The 20,380-nt window shown below is 33.4% G+C and overlaps 1 protein-coding gene across 5 annotated transcripts in view; it reads right to left on the reverse strand.

Annotated features, from left to right (window-relative positions):
• The window catches only part of SESN3 (sestrin 3), a 66,963-nt gene that overhangs the window by 20,973 nt on the left and 25,610 nt on the right, over positions 1–20,380 (reverse strand). For 3 of the 5 annotated variants that reach the window (XM_011542614.2, XM_024448355.2, NM_144665.4), the window contains 3 exons: positions 6,972–7,037; positions 4,919–5,116; positions 3,294–3,476 (listed from right to left, as the gene is read on the reverse strand). In XM_011542614.2, the coding sequence (XP_011540916.1) occupies positions 3,294–3,476; positions 4,919–5,116; positions 6,972–7,037 (447 nt within the window). Of the gene's footprint in view, positions 1–3,293; positions 3,477–4,918; positions 5,117–6,971; positions 7,038–14,425; positions 19,640–20,380 lie in introns of those variants that run through there. The other 2 variants (XM_047426416.1, NM_001271594.2) reach the window with 2 other exon arrangements.

Consider the following 20,380-nt stretch of genomic DNA (forward strand, 5'->3'; position numbering starts at 1 on the left):
AAAGATCTGTTAAAGAACAAAATTATAGCTAGATAGAAGGAATAAATTCTAGTGTTCCATACCACTGTAGGATGACTATAGTTAACAATAACATACAGTTTCAAATAGTTAGAAGGAAGATATTGAACATTCCCAACACAAAGAAATAATAAATGTTTGAGATGATGGGTATCCTAATTAATCTGGTCATTGTACATTATATATTATCAAAATATCACTATGTACCCCATGGATATGTACAATTATGTGTTAATTAAAAAATAAAATTTAAAAAGTGATCTTAAGACAAAAATATCATTATTATAATCTGTAATAATGTAAATAAAGAGGGTCATTATTGAATAATAAAAGAATATACACCAGAAAAATATACTTGCTTTACATCTGTATGTACCTAACCTTGTAGCCACAAAATATACTAAATGGTTGCAATATTGACTGAAAAAAATTCTACCACTCTAACTTTTACATATTTTATTTTTTATAAGCAATTATATAGTTACAACCACACATATCTATATTTTTCTGATTTTCAAATTTGACATTTTGACATGTTCATTTTTCATTAGGCCACAGTGCCATATTAATTTTTAAGCAAGGCCTCTCCTGTATATCAACAGATGTATATAACTACTTCTCCTTTCCTATACCATTATTCATATTCTAAATTTGTTTTGTTTATTTGCTTCTATAAACAGCATCTTCATACTATAGTTTTATTCTTATTTTAGAAACATTTCCTAATAGGATTTTTAGAACAAAGTGTATTAATATTTTTATGACTTTTGATAATACTGCCAAAGAGCTTTCCAAAAGGACTGTTAGAATTTACAATGCCCTCACCAATCTCTGCAGGATTATCATTAAACCTGAAAGGACAGCCAACACTCACCATCTCTAATTTCTTGCCTCACATTCATTTCTACTTTTAAAAATTCATTACAATCTGGTTTCTTTTTCAAGCAAACTCCAGAAGCTACATTTACTAATATTACACATGACCTTCCAAATGGCCAAATTTGACTATTTCTTTTTAGTCCTTATTTTATTTGATCTCTGCAGAATTTACATTGTTTACCTTCTCCCTTCCTGACATTAATCTCTCTTGACTTCAACAATTCCACATTTTGGGGAGGGAAGTACTCTTGCTACCCTGAGAAAGATCTTTCTCTATTGCTGTATTCCATCCACAATCTTCCTTCCTTGTACAGTATCTCCTTGGATGGGCCATTCATTCCTTCAACCTGACCTTTGCTTATCTGTAAACAACTATCCAATTTTACTTTTAACTCACACTTTATCTTGAGTTACAGACCTGTATTTCCTTTAGTAAGTGGACATCACTTTGTGGATGTCATTTTTAGTTGTTGTCAGCCTGTATATGCTCATGTCATGAAGAAGGACACCTTAGTCACTCTCTTGTCCCACCCACTTTCTCCATCCTCACATCCTGCCAGTCACCAAAGTCCTACTTACTCTCATGCAGAATCATTACTAGAATCTTATCCTTCCTATGTATCTCCCATGGCTTAAAAAAAAAAAAAAAATCACCTCTCAGGTGTAGTACTATGACTGGTCTACTGCTTCCAGTCTGTACAATCTGTAATTTATCTTCTAAATCACCTAATATATTTATATTACAACATGGCACAAAAACCTTTAATGATTCTCGATTCTCTATCATATTGATCTCCAAGCTCTTGTGATCAAATGTACTTCCAAATGTAACAATTGGGAAAGGTCCAACCCCAGATATTACGTATATTTATTTGTAAATTTATACACATAAAATATATTTTATATAGAATATTTATATATGTGTACCGTAATAAAAACATAAAATACACAAATACAAAAATTTAGAAGAATGAGATGAGAATATACACACATACACAAATATTCTGTTAATATTTTGGAAAATTTTCCTGTGTACCTCCTGAGTACCATAACATAACCCTGAAGACCACAACTTTCTGAGAATAAAATACAAATTATTTAATACAGTATTCACTGGGTCATACAATATGATCTCAATTCTTCCCAGTTCCCACCTTACATAAACATCGCTGCACTTCAATAATCTGAAACTGTTGGCTATTCTTCCAATATACCATAATATTAAATACTCTATTCTTTCTTTGAAATGCCCTGCTCTACTTGAAAACTCCCATTTATTCTTCAAGACCTAGCTCAAATGTTACCTCTTTCAGAAAATAAACTTTCTGGTCCCATTCTCTTTATTCATACATTCATACACTGTTGTACTGTGATTATTGTCATTACCCTGTTCTTCTTCTCCCCTAGACTCCAAGCAAATCTATGGGCAGGGTCTTTATCTTTACCCACCAAAGTATCTGGCACAAAGTAATTAAGACATGACATTAAAAACAATGATTAATTCCCCTATCTAGCTAACATATCATCAAATCAGAACATAAATCTTAAGACAGCATCATGCTTCACAGTTTCCCAGATTCAGCATCAAAATCTGAGAGTATGCAGATTGATAAATGCTATGTTTGGTTGAAAGGGCAAATAACAAAAATGTAGTCTAACAAGAGGATCCAAAAACCAAGGACATTTCTATGCATTAGGAACAGATATTTTAAATAACAAAGGTTTCCACTGATAATTTAGATGATAGGTCCCATCTATTGAATAGTTACCACGTGCCAAGAATAGTGCTAAGCATATTGAATAATGACCTCACCCTGTAGGCCTTTGATGGAAGCGCCTTCAGAAATACAAGTGCTCTTAGTCAATCACGACAACTCTATTTCTCGTCTAAGCTCTAGTTTTAAAAGGCATTTAAGCATTCACACACCAGCTGGCAAATCACTTTTTTATTTGCAAAATCATTTTTTGAGAATCTAAAACTTATGAAATGTTAGAACTATAAAAAAGTTTAAAACTCATTTAATCTAGCTCCCTCATTCCGTAGAAGGGAGAACAGAAGCCCATAGAAGTTAATTTACTAAAAGGACACAAACTTGTAACAGAGTACAGACTAGATCCCAGGCATCCTATCATGCTAGTGTATTTTCTTTAGTCTATCTACTACTTAAAAATAGAAACCAAATTTTCTCATAGCCATTCACCAAACTAGTTGTAGAAGATAATGATCACTTAAAGAGGAGAAGTATTCATTTGTGCTTAAATTAAACTGACTTTCTAAACTCATCTTTTCTACACATACTAAGACACTATTATTTATGTTCCAAGTTCCTAATATACACATATTTAAAATTAAGTCCTAAGCAAATTCCTTTTTATTTCAAAGAAACATTCAGTACCTGAATGTGCTCTTTTGTGATCAGCCAAGGTCGATGTGCTAGCAGCTTATTAATTTCATTAAGATTTTTCAGTCTTTGTGGCACATATTCCAAACCATTCAACCACTCAGCAATACCTCCAGTCTTTAAAAATTCATCCACATGCATGTTTATTAAGTAAGAACACTGATGTCTAGCTGCAGCCTAAAGCACAAAGAAAAAAATTCATTGATAAAAGAATCACAGTAGAGTTTCTTTCCACTATTTCTAAACAAATAATTCAGATGGAGCTAATGATTTTTATAGCCAGTACCTCTTTTCTTACAGAATCCTTTTTCTAAAACATCCATCATAATGATGTAATAGATTCAATACATGAAGCTGATACTTGTATAAGCAAATAATTGCCACATGAAGCCAATTATTTCCTTGTCTGGAAGTTGGTATAGCTTAAGCCATAGCCCACTTTCTAGCTATGAATAGGAAATACAGGTCCATTTCAATATGACAAATATACCTATTACATTCTACTTAAAACATAATAAAATCTCATTAACTTACATTCTAACAACTCAGGATTCATCCTAATTTGATTACTTCTCTTATCCTCTTTAAGATAAATGTGACTGCAGTCATATTTGTACACATCTTCCTACTCAGATGACATGGAAGCTCACTGACCCTTTTCTTCCTATGCAGTCAGAATCAGCCCTCAATTGACCTCTTTTTTCCTCAGGGCTGCTTCTCAGTAAAACAGTATTATTTTATTCTTTCTATTCTCTACATCTTATTTCTCCACATTTTACAAGCATTCTAAGTCTGCTTTCAGACTTAGTGTCATCAAAACCTTAAGCTAAAATTACAGCCTCAGTGAAGTTCATCATTCAATAAAACATGGAATGTTGCTTTTTGTTGTTGTGTAAAAGTTCAGTGAGACTATAAAAAAGACAATCAAATCAAACGTGGTCAAACTTAATCTCCTAACTCCTGGCTAGTTATGACAGCCCTGTCAGCCCAGTTTCTTCCCCAACTTCTCCAAATATATAGCACTTTCATTATGTTCTTGTTCTTCTTTTTCTCCATTAAAGTCCGACACACACAAAACTTTATAATTCTCCTCTCTGACCTCTATTGCCTGTGAATAACTAGTTAACCAGTTTGTAATCAGAACTATACTTAGAAGTGTTATAATTCACTCAAGAATTCTTCTCTCATTCAGATTCTCCATTAATGCTGACTGATACTTTCCTCTTACTTGGCCAAATTAGTGACATTCTTTATGTATAAAATTACTAAGAAAAATGTCACAAACAACTTGTGTTTGTATAAAAACAAGATATCAAGAGCAAAGACAAAACTTGTGGGGTATTATTTTGCATGCTATAAGCATCTTTATTTGTAAGAGATTAAATATGAAAAATGATTTTACTGAAAATTAAATGAGAAACATTCAGTGCATTAAGTGGCTTAACATATTCCAAATATACCCAAGACACTTGGTATCCAAAAGGCCATAGGCTTCTTCAGTTCTTATGTCCATAAATTATACTTAGCTCTATACACACACAAGGACACATGCCTATTTTGGAAGGGAGAAAGAATAAGTGAGGAAGGTGTTATGTGAACATAGGAAAATAAGCACCCACCATTATTGCAATATAGTGCCTGTATGGTAGAGGAAGGGGACCATCCATGCGCAACATGTAAAACTGGCTCCGCAAGAAAGACTCCAGGTACTGAGTGTGTAAACTCATGACCTGTGTGATGTTGTCCAGACGACCGGATGTAGAGTATTCTTCCACAAGAAAGTTAGTACGTTCATCCACTGTGTTTGCTTGGACAACCTTATAACCAAAAAAAACAAAACAAAATGACTATTGAGACATAAACACACCCTTGGTTTAAATAAATTATGCCACTATTGAAGCAAATGAATATTCATTTGATATTAACAGACACTGAAATTATGCAGTTGCTCATACTGGAAACAGAAATAAAAAAAGAAAGCACCATTCATTTTTGGCTCTGGTACCACAATTTATTAAACAACAAATGTTAAATTATCAAACATTATACACACAGCTATGAATGAAGAAAAGAAGCTTCCATCTGTTTTGCTAGGCATATTAGGTAGATTCTTCAGGGTCCATTTGCCTGGCCATTGTCACACCAATGTGTGGTAAAGCACAGGCAGTAGCATCTGATTACATACATTTACAATTTCATCTCATCAGCCTATGAAGATAAGCACATCATTTTTAGACTAATATTTTCAGTCTAATCCTTTGCTTGCTTTTGTGATTTAACATAAAAAAAACTTTCTGAAGTCTTTTCAGGAACAAAGGCATATATAATAAATTTTAGAAGTGTTAATTGAAAAATTAATGAGGACACCAGAATACTGTCATTCCTATTTTGAGCCTAACAATAATAATTACTAAAAACAAGGCAAGTTATTGAAATGGACATTCTCCATCCTAGGAAATCAAAAGAGTTTTCTCAAAAATAGATTATTTATATATAGCTTCACACACAATGACAGTTTGGGCATCACACCAAGAACTGGTTCTGAAGGTGTTAAGAGTTTATTAGCACCTTGTAGAAAGACTCAACCCTGTGGGAGTTAATGGACATGAGATGCATAATTCTAAGAGTGGTTCATTGTTTATTTGTATTTCAGAATTGGAATTCTAGACTTATTTTAGAGATAAGGAAACAGATTTAAGATTAAATTCAAGCTCATGCACTTTATTAATAGCAGAGTCTGGTCTAGAATCCAGATCCCCTAAAGCCCAGACTAATGGTCTTTCCAAACATCCACACTGCTATTAAGAAACTGTTTACTCTTCAGAGCTGGCTTCGCAGTCTGAAAAATAAGTACACATTATACAAAGGCACTACTAACTTAGGGAAATTTAATCCCAAAGGAAACATAATGTTTGAAAAGTATAAATTGTGAGGAAATGTTAACTACAATGGCGTAACTCATTATGGAGCCAAGTATACTTTGATTTGCTCACTTCCCCACCATTTTGTCAACTACAGGGACCAAGACAGTTAAAAATATAATGGGATCCAGATGAACCACATATAATTAGAAGTAGAATATTTGTTATTTTTGTTTTGCTTTCCCAGCATAAGTTTGTTCTAACTGGATGCTTAAGATACATTAATAGATTCATATGATGCAATAGATCCTAAAAACCAGATTATCCTCAAATATATACTGTGAAAAATGACTATGCTTCAGGAAGTCTTTATATGTAGTAGGCAACTTAGAGCAGCCCCAGGCTATCTGAGGAAAATAGGCATAAGCAGGATAGCTTCTCCAGTGCATGGTGCATCGTCCTCACCGAGATCAGCTATTGTCACTGAGCTCCCGAAATGTTACTGTCACTTTGGATCTGCACTTAGGTGGGAAGGTCACTAAAAAGGTGATCTGATGATGAAAGAACTGTTGACTCTGGCAATGATCAGGTATTATTCTATTTCTACTAGTCCCTTCTTTTAAGACAATAATTGGCACTCTGTAAATATTTGTGAAGCTGAAAAGAAAATATCTCCATGGTTTTCTGACATGTGAACAAGAAACTCAAAAGCAAAATTCATTCCTACTTTCATATTAACAGGAGATATTCTTTGATACAGTTAAGTTATTTTTAAATCTTACTTTTTATATTTTAAGACAGATAAACTTACTTCCTTCTCTGGAATAAAGGCACTTGGTCCTCTTGTCAAGGGTTGAGACACTCTGATTCTTTTATCCTATTTTTAAAAGAAAAGTTTTATGTATCAATGATGACTTTCTAAGAAATGTTAAATTTGTACACATTTATTGCTAAGGTACTAAAATAAAGAGAATAAATAATTAAATTATGTGAGACCAGAGTAAGTGTTGGGTTTCAGATCAAAGAAAACCCATAGGGCCACTGTATGGATGAGATAATGGGGCAAACACCTACCATAGTGCTAAGTGCAGCACAGCCTCCTCAAAATGTCATATCCCTTAGTCACAGTCTACACCATAAACTTTAAGCCCACATCTGACATGCCTGAAAACCATTAACCTCCATAATAAAATAGTGTTTTATAGTAGTATACTGTTAGACATCAATTTGAAAACTAAATAAAAGGTTAAATTCGAAGAAGATTACATAACAACCCTTCAAAGCAATTACCCAGTCTGCTTTTTTTCCCCTAAAATAGCAATAAGCATATCTAATATGAAGTTTTGAAACTTTAAGAAAAATGTAAAAATTAGAGAAGGAGAGGTTAGTTCAATATAAAGAATGGGGAACATAGTAATTCTTATTGTTCCACTTGCTATTCTATTGGTGGTATTAACAACTGACAGATTGCCAATGGTATGTCTGAATGCTGATTTTTTTTTAAGTTTTTAAAAATTTGTTAACTTTTTTAGATTGAAAAATATTTTAGTATCCTCATTAAGTGCGATACAAGCCATAAAAATTCGAATCAGAGAATAGGGTCCTTCTTCTCACCCTCCCTTTCTCCCCCCATTACTAGGTAACCTGAGTCTTTTTTGGTCCTTACAATCAAACAGCCTATCAAACACAAAATAGTTATTTATATCTCTTAAATCCTTTACTTCATTAGGAACCAGTTACAAAACAAATTGGTGAAAGTAGGCAGTCAGGCATTTAACACGATTTTTTTGAGAGCCTAATCAGATACTGTGATAGACTTTGAGGATACAGGGTGAGGAAAACAGATATGCTCTCTGCCCTCATGAGCTGTACACACAATCTTCATCAATTTTGGGAGTTCTATTGAAATAAATATATTAAACAATAATACTCTTAACCTGGTAAAGTTTCAGAAATAACTTTATATTTCTAGGTTATATTTACAAAATTATGACAAAGGCCTCAATCTCCTGGTCAAGTACACTGGAGGACTGCATGTTAAGAGGATGAAGTCAGGATTCCAATATTGGTATTTCTTGTCTATGTCAACCAAATCTAGACTTACCCAGAAAGATAATTTAAAGGAAAATAACAGGTTTCTTCCTTTTGCTAGTCTCCATAAGATATAGAAAAAAAAATTTCGAACACTCTCTGTATAACTCAATGAACTACAAGGTTAAAGTAAGCTATGATCGCACCACTGCACTCCAGCCCAGGTGACAGAGTGAGACCTCATCTCACAAAACCACCACAACAACAAACTTAACGAAGTAGTATATGAAAAGCAATTTTCTGGACAACTATTCATTTCAAATGAACAAAGCAGCTGGAAAAACTGATTATGAGGAAAAATTATGATTATGAGGTTTGAGGAAAAAAATTTCAACAGGGAGATAAATCGAAATCTTTAAATAATAAAAAATACATAAAATTTAGAGAACATGTAGGGGGAGCAAAATATAAACTCACGTTAAGATGGACAATGGGATTTTGGAAACAAAAAATGATTTATTAAATTTGTTGATAAAAATCACAATTTGATACAGTTAGCAACTAAATTTACCTTTAAATGTTTCATATTATTACTTTAAATATTTTCTGGAACAGGTGAGATTTAAATCTGAAAAAAATATTTTCATTATAAATGGAACTGAAAGGTACTGCATTTAAATGAATATAACATCCCTTAGTGTTTAGCAATTGAAAAGAAGCAACTTAAACTCAATTTCATTTGTGTCAACACTGATTTCTTCATTTATTTAGCAAACATTAATTGAGCATCTACAATGTGCTAGGCAGTGAGGACACAAATAAGAATTAGATTGGCAGAATGCATATAACCAGCTACGGCGTATGACATATACCATCGCAGATGCATACAAAAAGTGATGAAAGAAGACATCATTTTAGCAATTATCATTTACTTAAGTCATTTTCCTACTGTTGAACATTTTAGTTATATACAGTTTTCACTATTATAAGTAATCCTGTGATGAACACCTTCATATAAAGAGACTTGGGACATATTTTGTTGTGTTTACGATAGTTTCTTTAGGAAGATTCCCAGAAGTGGACTTACTATGGTTTGGGTTATAAATATCTTCAAACTTCTTGTTGCTTACTGCCAATGTGCTAACAAAAATGTCTTACCAATTTTATTTTCATCGGCTGAGAAAATGTCCACTTAACTCACTAATTTCAAAAGTAAAAAGCAGCATTCAAAAACGTGTTTGAAGCGTTTTATTGTATGCTTCTTTGTAGTAAAAAGTTCTTAAGCAGAGATGTGGATCAGATCTGTGTTTTTAATAGTGTTGAGGGTGATGTAGACCCTGGGCCTGAGAGGGAAAAATCCCAGCTGGGAAGCTCTGGTGATAGTCCAGGAGAGATAAAATATGGCCCGACCTAAAATATTTGTTTATATACCGAACATAAAAGAAAACTAACACAATTTTTAAGTTTTAACATCATGTATTCTTCTTCAATTATATTTTTTAATGTTGCCATTTTTGAAATGATCAGTCTAGTTTCTGCTTCTGCATAAGGAGAATCTTTTCTGGCAAGGACTCTACTACTGTATTGTCTCAGTTGGCTGCTCTGTCTATTCATAGGAAGGTGAAATACAATTTTAAAAATGATCACAGTTCATAAATTCTACTCTAAACACATTTCATTCTGAAAATTTGTTTCCACCCACTTTTCTATCTCTGCATGCTTTTAAAGTCAGTAAGATCAAATACAAAAGAAATAGGATAGTACTATATCCAAAAGATTGATTTTTTTTTTTTTAAGATAAGACCATAAGCTAGAGTTCTGGTCAAATTATAATGCCTTTCCTCCGCCTTTCTTTCAAATCCCAAATGTCCAAGGACCAAGTTCCTACTTCACTCATACTAACTTTTCTAAAGTCTCTAGACCTACGTTCCCCAACATGGTAAGCATCAGCCACATATGGCTAAATTTAAATGAATTAAAATTAAATAAAGTTAAAAACACAGTTTCTTAGCCACATTAACCACATTTCAGATGCTCGGCAGCCACATAGGACCACGTGTACTCTACAGGACAGCGCAGACATTTCCATCTTCCACTGCAGACAGTTCTACCGGACAGTGCTGCTCTGGACTCATTTGGTTTTGCTTTTTTAAAATTGCATTTTCAGACATTTTTATAACTTTTTGAAATGTTAAATGACTGCTCCACAGAGTTATTCATTTGATGGTCACACCTACTCAATCCCAGAACCAAGCATTTTAGTGTAATTGCAGAAATGCTCTGAACCAATCAACCTATTTGTCCTATTTGGGCAAATTAGGAAGAAAAAAAACTATCAGCCAGTTCCAAGGACCCTTGTCTCAATTTCTGCTTACATTACAGTCCCCAGAAAAGTATCAAGGGCACGCTCACTTTCCTTCCTTCTTTCTTTCTTGTGGTAATAAATAAATAACACCCAAGGTTTACCCTTTTAAATTAAGTGTACAACCCCAGTATTGTTAACTATATGCATGATGTTGTACAGAGGAGGTCTAGGACTTTTTCTTCTCACATAACTGAAATTTTATTGCCATTGAACAGCAACTCCCATTTCTCCCTACCCCTAGGTCTAGGAACCACCATTCTACCTTTTGCTTTTTATGTAAACACAGTCTTTAGATCACAGCTGAGATTCTCCCTATGTAATCCCCTGCTTTCTTACCTCTTTGCACAAGTCAAATCTACCTCCTTCTGGGCAACTCTCTTCTTTTTGGGCTTCCTTTTCTTTTCTTTTTTTTTTTTTTTTGAGACAGAGTTTCACTCTTGTTGCCCAGGCTGCAGTGCAATGGCACAATCTCAGCTCACTGCAACCTCTGCCTCCCGGGCTCAAGCGATTCTCCTGCCTCAGCCTCCCGAGTTGCTGAGCTTCCATAACACTTTACCACCCAACCCATTAACTTCTTTGATCATTTACTTTTATGTTTCCTAGATGTTCCTTGCAACTCCTTCCTTATAAATATTATTCTTTCAAGTCAATGTTCTCTTCTATGGCTACCATATTCTTTACACAAAACAAAATTCTACTCAAATTTGTTATGGTGACTATATTGTAGGGAAGACGATGGAGCAGATGAAGGAAAAAATAAGGGCACAGGATACGAAAATGAGCAACCCATGCAACTGCCTCCTGAATCTTTTTTATCTAGAGAACTCGCTAGCTCTTCTCCGCCCTCCAGTCTGGCTTTGGGTATTTTGTGACATAACCTGGATGCAACATTAGCACCTTAAAATCAACATGTTTAAAATGAATCTTCTATCTCAAACCAGCTGTTCCTCCTCACTTTCCTCTGTAGGTTATAAAATCACCATACATACCAGCAACCCTGGCTCAGATTCACAGTTATCTTGGACTCTTTATCCTAGGGGCCTGCATTCAAATGGTTGCTAAATCCTGTAACTGTCTTTTACCAACTAAATCTTTAAGTCATCCTTTCCACACCCCCTACTCAGTTGTAAGATTTCTCTCATGCCAAGAAACCTTTCCCCTCACAAGTGAGAATAATATCAATTCTAGACTGTAGCTTACCCCATTGTTGGGAAGCTTTGAGAAGATACCGCATAAAAATGTAAAACACACAAAGCATAATATAAAATATTTTTATTTTTCTTCTGCTTATTTTCCTCAATGTCAAAAAAAAAAAAAAAGAACCCAAAACGAAAACAGCTATATTTTCTCAACAGATGCTACTTGATTAGAAAAATTCAAGGATTGCTCTATGCTATAAGTGAAAATATGCAGTGGCTGCACTAATTTTGAGGAATAATATTGCTATGTTTTTCTCTAAGCATTTCAGCTAAAGCTACTATCTTACTTTTGGGAATAAATGAGTTTGATCATTTAGTCAAAGATCTAGTGAATCTTATACAATGGCTTTTAAATAATAAATCTTATTTATTTCTGTGAAAAACCAAAACAAGTCCTTGAGTTTCTTTCGCTGTCACTAGCCACATGTGCCTATTTAAATTTAAGCTGATTAACATTAAATAAAGTTAAGAATTTAGAGTTCAATTGTACTAGCCACATGTCAAGTGTTTAACAGCCACATGTGGCTAGTGGATACCATTCAGGACAATGCGAATCTAGGCTATTTCTACCATTGCCAAAAGTTCTATGGTATAGTGTTGCTTTGTAATATTGTTCAGCTGCTAGGATAATGCAAAGATATAAAATGGCTACAAAATCAGGAATAAACATAGCATAATAAACATGTACTAAAGTACTTTCATAGAAATAAAAGATTGATTTGAATGTTAAAACTGAAAAACCCAATAAAACCAACCAATTAATCTTAATAACAGAAAAGTTGAGAGATACCATTCTTCAGAGTCTTAATTTGATGACAACTTTGAAATCACTAACTAAAAAGAATGAAAGAAATTATCTAAAATGTTGACTTGAGTTTAAAAAAAGGAATGTAAAAGTACTTAAGAAATTTTAAATAGTAATAACTTTATCGTGATTTGTTTTCAGAATTAGCTATTTTTCATGAAATCCTATAATTTTAATCAAGAAAAAAACTAGTTATAAAATAGGAACTCACACTTTCTATGTGTCACTTGTATGTGCTCTAAGAGATTATTTTGTAAGGTTTATAATCTCAAGAATGTTACCATTAGGAAAATTTATTTTTACAGATACCTCATTATAGCTGAAAAAAGTTACGCTTGAAATTCATCAGTTGAGATTATGCCTATTAAGTAATTATCTGCTGGAAAACAAAACACTGAAAGGATGAGGATGAATTATATTTAGAAAATCACTTATTTTGACACTTAACAGCTAAGCAACTTATTAGATCCCTTTAAAGGATATAAATTGATCCCAACAGAAAATTAAGATACTTGTATTTGGAAGTTAGAAACTCTTAAAATTGTGAGTCTTTAGGAGTAATCAGCAAATTACTTGCCCCTAAAAAGACTGACTTCCAAAGAAAATTAATTGCAGCACTTTAAGCTATTAAATGCTTTAAAATAAATTATTAAAATTAATTTTCACTTATTTTTCAGTGTATTTTATTAAAAGTGGAAAAGCAAAATCATACATTTCTATCCACTAAAATGTAAATGTTGCTTATAATTTATCTCTGTAGGGGAGCAAAATGTGTAATTAATTTACATAGAAATACTTAAGGATCTTTTTTTTAAGGAAAATCTGTTCAACATATAAAACATTCTGGTAAAGTAAAATTTAACTCCACAGAGAACACTAACCCCACAATTTTTAAAGATATCCTTAGAAGATAATTTAATGGTGCCAACATTCTTTTTTAAATACACTACAATGACAAAATGTCTTAAATACAAAACACATGCCCCAAACAAAATTTTTAGGTACGAATGTAAGAAAGCCAATTGAAATGGTCTATACAAATAGTAAATTCAGTTTTTGACCCTCCTTTTATTGTTATAGATGTTCCATTTTGGCAGAAACACTGCAACAACAACAACGACAAAAAAGTAGGTATAAACAGGCAGCTCTATGCTATGAAATAATGCTGATGTAACCCTAGATGAGAAAACAACAGGTTTTAAATGAATTATAACGGATTGGTACTTTTACAGTAAACTTAACTTTAAAGGCCAGTCACTAACTGGAACATAAATTCAGTTCCCACTATCTCTAAAAGAAAAATCCAAGAGATAATTTTTAAAAATGTGACTTCTATACCATATTAAAATATGTATTGATGTTCACCAGATTATAATAACTGAGATCCAAGATTATTCCATAAGAAAAGATCTAAAAGCAGAAAATGGCAATGGCACCAGGGGTGAGAATGTTTTAAATTACACCAGCATCTCTTCTCTTACTTGAAGCTAGAGTGGTTCAAGGAACCACTGAGGATCAGAAGCCCAGCAGATATTACAGGGGTGTCAGAAATTCACTGACACTCCAAAGAGCACTCAAAATTCTCCTTCATAATGGGGAATCTCATCTAATCCTAAGGGCCTGAGACTTTAAGAGTGAACTCCTTTTAACTGAGCTATTAAAACCAAGGCTATCAAGTCCTTCCTGCAACAGTTTTACCTCTGGATAGAGTCATTTGAGGAACATAGGAAAGATCTTGTTACTAATAGTGTGAAATCTAGCCTTCTTCAACAATACATATGAAATTCGATTTTTAACTTGAATTCTCAAAACATTTCCACTCAAAAGTACTAGAGTTATCAACTGTATTATAGCAATTTCTTTACCTCCTCTCTCTCTACTGAATCATCAGTTCTTTGTAGGGCGGTCGGTCAGTACCTTGTTCATCTTTGACTACTTCAACCTTAGAATGGTGTACATGTGAGGTAAACTTCTGGTCTAGTTTTTACAGCTTTATGTAATAGTGGTCATTTGCATAGTAGTATGTTTTTCTATTTCACTTTTCCAAAAGAATGAGTTCTAAGAAATAATATGAGATATTATGATTAAGTAACTTTCATAAAAAAAAAATCTTGGTGTGCCATTTGGTAAGAACCATTACATAAATTTTACTTGTTTTACTAACTGTGAGCCCAAAGCTACACAAGCTCACCTAGTGAGTACTCTGGAAATGGCAGCCATGAGTACTGCTATTATTAGTGGAAACTGGCAGTAGTACTCATTGTAGTAGAAGCAGTTAAGTATTTAAAGATGAATGGATTCATTCCAGCACTGAAAGAATTGGAAGAATGAATGAAGAATTAAAAACGTATATCCACATAGCAAAGGGCAGCTAATGAGTTTAATTTGCAGTGCAGTATAACTGAGCTTCCAAATAAGCTTTTGCTTGGCCAGTAACAAAATCCCTTAATTTTTACTCATTAGAACACATAGTGAACTTGTTCTAAGTGCAAACAAGTTGTTATATTTATACATTGACTATGGAGTGACAAGCTTCTAAAAACAAAAGGACCACTTCAAGGTAGCTCTAGAACCCTGTATGACCCCAGAATTATACAAATCTACAAAGGTGGAAATAATTAAGAACAAATGCTATAGGACAGTCTTTAAGCTACACCATTAGCACTATACTACTAGTTAGTCCTTTAAACTGGAAATAAATCTAAAATCACATTCATGTCCAGTGTCACCCAGAGGCAAGTGACAAAGAACACACTTTTTCCACTTTCCATGTAATGCCACAGAGTGATGTAAATCAAAGCTACAGTCACCTGTAAAGTTAAAAGGTAATTGGTAGTTTTAAAATGACTTGTCTTTTCTGTGCTCTGTGGAAATTAGATATATTTGAACCAGTGTATTCCTGAGGATCTGCCTTCCCTTTTTCTCTCTATTGAAATGCTATCCATACTTCCCTTAAGCCCTGTCTCAAATACCAACTCCTTTGGTCTTCCTTCTCTCCTGCCAACTCCCAAGGTTTCCTATGAAAGCTTTAAATTTATATTTCTTAAGGTTCAGTTATATTGTTTCTCTCTCTTATAGCTATTAACATATATCATTATCTTATTGCTCCTTTCAGACTATAAGCTCCTTAAAGAGTAGAATCAATTTCTAACACAATATCTGTAGCATTACAGCTCAGCAAAGTGAAAATAATAGATTCTCATATATTTTTTGAATTGAATTAAGGAGATAGGAGTCTGGCTGTAGGCTCTTTCATCCATTTCTCCTCCTTGAACAGAACAAGAACATCCTGTGGATTTAAGGAAATTAATGTTCTCTGTATTCTTATTAGAAATACCAATAAGTTAAACCAATATATAAAACACAGTCCTAAACATCAATCTACTTACTGTCTTCCATGTGCCCTCTGGATGCCTATTTGTTTATTTTCTTAGTTATTAAAACAAACAGTATCTATAATTTCCCATAATTTGTACCACTTTCTTAAAAATCAGTAATATTCCATGCTGTGACACTAATCTTGGGCAACAAAGCCTCCTGTATAAGCTTTTAAGTGTTGAACACTTTTTATAGAGCTATAGAGATACAAAATATAGCTGTTGAATATGCTAGTAAAATTTTGAGCTATAGCACAAGAAAATGAGGAGAGAACTATAAATCTTAGTAGCTGAGATAATGCAAGTCCATAATAAGCACTTAACTATTGCTTCCTTAGTAACATAAAGACAATATGCTTTTCTACCACTAATTATAAGATCTGGTCCCAAAAAAGTATTAAGAAGGTCTTTACTTCTATATGAATAATTGTTTAAAAGTTTCTGTATTGTGTAACAATAAAACTTCACCTTGAATTTTAGAAAGCTTTACCTATTAAAATAATGTCTCAATTAGATGAAAAGAAACTAAAATTGGAAGTTTTAGAAAGTAAAATTCCCATTAGAGACAATTATATAACATTCTAATATTACTCAGTCGATGGTTGATAGTTACTAGTACTTTTGGAGAAACAAAAATATGCTGTGAATGTAGTTATCTTGGTGTATGAGGGACAAGTGGAGTTTTAAATCAAGCTTCCATATTCAGCATCTACCAGCTTGACTATAGTATTATAAAATCAAAAGGCTTTAGGTTATTCCAATGGAACAGAATGACAGGATGGTTTTCAGATTTTTCAAAACACAATGATAAAATACAAGTCACTTACTCAGCTTAGAGGAATCAGGGAAATATATTAAATGCATTTGATTTCTAGAGATTTACAAAACAAATTATAAGCATTTAGCCATATGGAAACCAGTACTTCTTTACGCACTGAGTCAGAAATAAGAACTCATGTTCTCATTTAAATTGAGAAAGTACCTTTCACACAGCCCCCCAGGATCACAACTGTGTAAATTCAAGTATATTTGATTTTATTTTGAATTACATTAAACTTCAGTTGTAATAAAACTTAAAAGAACAGAAGTCTTTATTCCTAGTTTTGAAAGGAGCAGTCACATTTTCATTTTTACCTGGAATAGAATGAACAGATCTGATCTGTATAGTAAATGCATGAAGACATCATTTCTGCTTTATTTTGTCAATCCTCAAGTCTATAAGCAGAAAACTACAAGATTGTGCTTTAATGTACACAGGTAAACTTAAAACCTACTGTAATCAGAATTAAAACCATTCTTATGCTCATTTAAGTAAACAGTTCACAAACGTCTTGATGTCAGGACCTCTTTATAGTCTTAAAAATTATTGACCCCTCTGCTTCTGGGCAAGGAGTGGTTTGCTGGTGTGGACATCTGTGTCTATGTGAAAAGTAGTGGTCATGTGGCTCAGATTTGTGCTATCCAGCAGTATGTCTCCAAATCCCTGGTAGCCTATTGCCAGAAATACGTAAATGAGGCTTCTAAGAAGCAGATCAAAGACATCCTCATCCAGTACGACTGGATCCTGCTGATAGCTGACCCCCTTGCTGCAAATTCAAAAAGTTAGGAGGCACTGCAGTTATATAAGAATATGTCCTTATATTTTAGAAATGTATACTAAAGTATACAGCAGGTAGAAGAAAATGAGTTTTGAGATTTAATTATTTCAGCAGCAATAATAGCAACACAGGATTGATGAAGTTAAGAGTGATAAAACCTTCCCAATATTAAATTTGGTCATGGGTTTATGAAGCTTCATTACACTATTTTTTCTGCTTTTGCGTTACTTGAAATTTTTATAATTTTTTAAGTGACTAGCAAGGTACCTGAGATAAATAGGCATTTAAATAAATGACAATTATTACAACAAAGTTTTTGTAATTTATAATACAAGTTAATGAAAAATAAATGTTATTAATAAACCTAAGATTGAAATTAAACACTGTAACTTTTAAAAAGAAGAATTATTAATTCATTTGATTATTTTTTTAAACCTCTGTTATGTACTGAATGTTCCTGTCCCCCCCCTCAAAATTCGTATGTTGAAATCCTAACCCCCAATGTGATGGTATTAGGAGGTGGGGCCTTTGGAAGGTAATTAGGTCATAAGAGTAGAATCTTCATGAATGGGATTAGTGCCCTTTATAAAAGAGACCCCAAGAGCTCCCTGGCCCTCTTCTGCCCTGTTGAGGACACAGTGCAAAGATAGCTGTTTATGAACTAGGAAGCAGACATTCATTAGACACAATTTGCTGGCACCCTGATCTAGGACTTCTCAGCTTGCGGAACTGTGAGAAATAAATATTCATTGTTTCTGCCACCCAGTCTTTGGTTTTTGTTATAGCAGCCTGCATGGACTAAGACAAGCTCATTTTCTGGAAAGTCTTGAACTAAGTACTTGAAAATACAAAGATAAATGAAGCACAAGTGCTGACTTCAAGGAAATGCCAGGTAAATAAGTATGGATGCACAATTACAATGTATGTTAGGAGCTATAACGGGAGTAACCAAAACAGGAAAGCCTCACTCTGCCTGCAAGAGTATGGACTAAAACAGCCTTCCAGATGAGATAAATCTTGGGAAGGAGCAGAAATTTGTCAGGATACGTAGAAAAGGATAGTTAAGTCTATGTGGATACAACAATACCAGTAAAAAGAAATATAAAATACAAAGACATGACACATCGAGGGAACTATGTTGTTCTACATGATTCCTGAAACTTTCTCAGGGAATAAGGCTAGAGACATAGGCAAGAGTCACATCATGAATGTCAGAGTAAAGAGCTTTGATATTATATAAACAATGGGCAATAGTAAAATAATTATATTTGTCTTTTAAGAAAATATTTCTGACATCCATTAGAAAGTAGAGTGGGGTGGGGGAGGCTGGGGAAATATGAGCTATTAGTAGGCTACTATATTATGTAGGAAAGAGAAGATTTGGGTTAATTAAGCAGTATGGATTAAAGAAAAGGAATTATATTGACAGCTAGTTAGCAGACTAAACAGAATTGAGTGACTAATGGAATATCAGGGTAAAATAGTGAGGAAAGTCTAGGGTTCCTCACAGAATTCTGAATTAGATGACTGTATGGATGAATAATGGTGACACCAACTGATATAAAAGCAATTCACACAATAAGGCAGCTGAAATTTAGGTTGATACTAGCAATCCAGGGATTATGCTTATAAGACAGTAATGTGGAAGGATATGGGTTTCAAGGAGATGAAAGCACTGTCAAGAATCAAGTGTTTCATTATTTTAATTTGCATTTAAAGACCCAAACTTTTATTATACATTACACTCTAATATTTAATAACAACTTTATACTAGGTTATCTCACCACCTGTTCACAAACTTCTCAGTGAGTCTAATTTGCTTTCCATTTCTACTACTACTACCTCAGTTTAGCCTATCATTTTATCCTTAGTTTATTGAGGGGGTGGAGTTGGGGGAAGGACAGTAGAGGAAGAAAGGCAAGATCTCCAACATTCTGGCCCCTAACCTAACTTTTCAACTTTTGTTTTCCAAGTGTTCCCTTATATGAACACTTCACATAAGCCTCAACACAGTTCCTAAATTCTGTATATTGACTCATTCAAACCCACAGCGAGTTTTCCCGTCTTCCAGATTCCCATTTATATGATGCCTGGTATCATTTTGTGAAAGAGAAGATAAACCTCATAAAAGTGGTTTATCTTCTCTTTCACTAATTTAATTATAAAAGAAGTGTTCTATCTTAATGACTAATTCAAATCAGGTGCCCAATAAATGTTGATTGATAACATACTATTTCTATATATTACTCAGCCTATTATACATTTAATGATATTATGAACTATTTTTGAACCATAACCACCTTAAAATGTTTTTTGGCATCCTGGATTTATGCCAGTCCTAAAATACACACACACACACACACACACACACACACACACACACACACTCTTATAATTTAATAGAGTTACTTCATAACATCCAAAGTTTCTCAATTCCTGTTTTGGCAAGAAAATTCTCAGAGTGCAGTTTTTGATAGAAAGAAAAAGCTATAATTATGCTATAATTAAGATCTGTGAAAGTAATTATCTTCTAATGATCACAAAGACTTCCTTTAATTTGTCATTCTCTTGATATCTCCTCCCATTTTCCAGATTAGTTTGCATACAGATGCTATTCAGGCCCTTTTCTGTTCTTTATCTTTCTTTTTTAAGTAACTTAACTAAGGATAACAGGATTTGTTATCCTTAGCCTGTACTTAAGGTTTCAGTGTTAGTGTACTAAATCAATAGTTTTTCAGTTAACTCAAAATAAACAGTCATTCATATCACCTAAACATTACTATTTTTTTTTTTTAGACGGAATCTTGCTCTGTTGCCCAGGCTGAAGTACAGTGGCATGATCTCA

The sequence above is a fragment of the Homo sapiens genome, chromosome 11 (genome assembly GCF_000001405.40).
Source record: "Homo sapiens chromosome 11, GRCh38.p14 Primary Assembly".
NCBI classification, from domain to species: domain Eukaryota; kingdom Metazoa; phylum Chordata; class Mammalia; order Primates; family Hominidae; genus Homo; species Homo sapiens.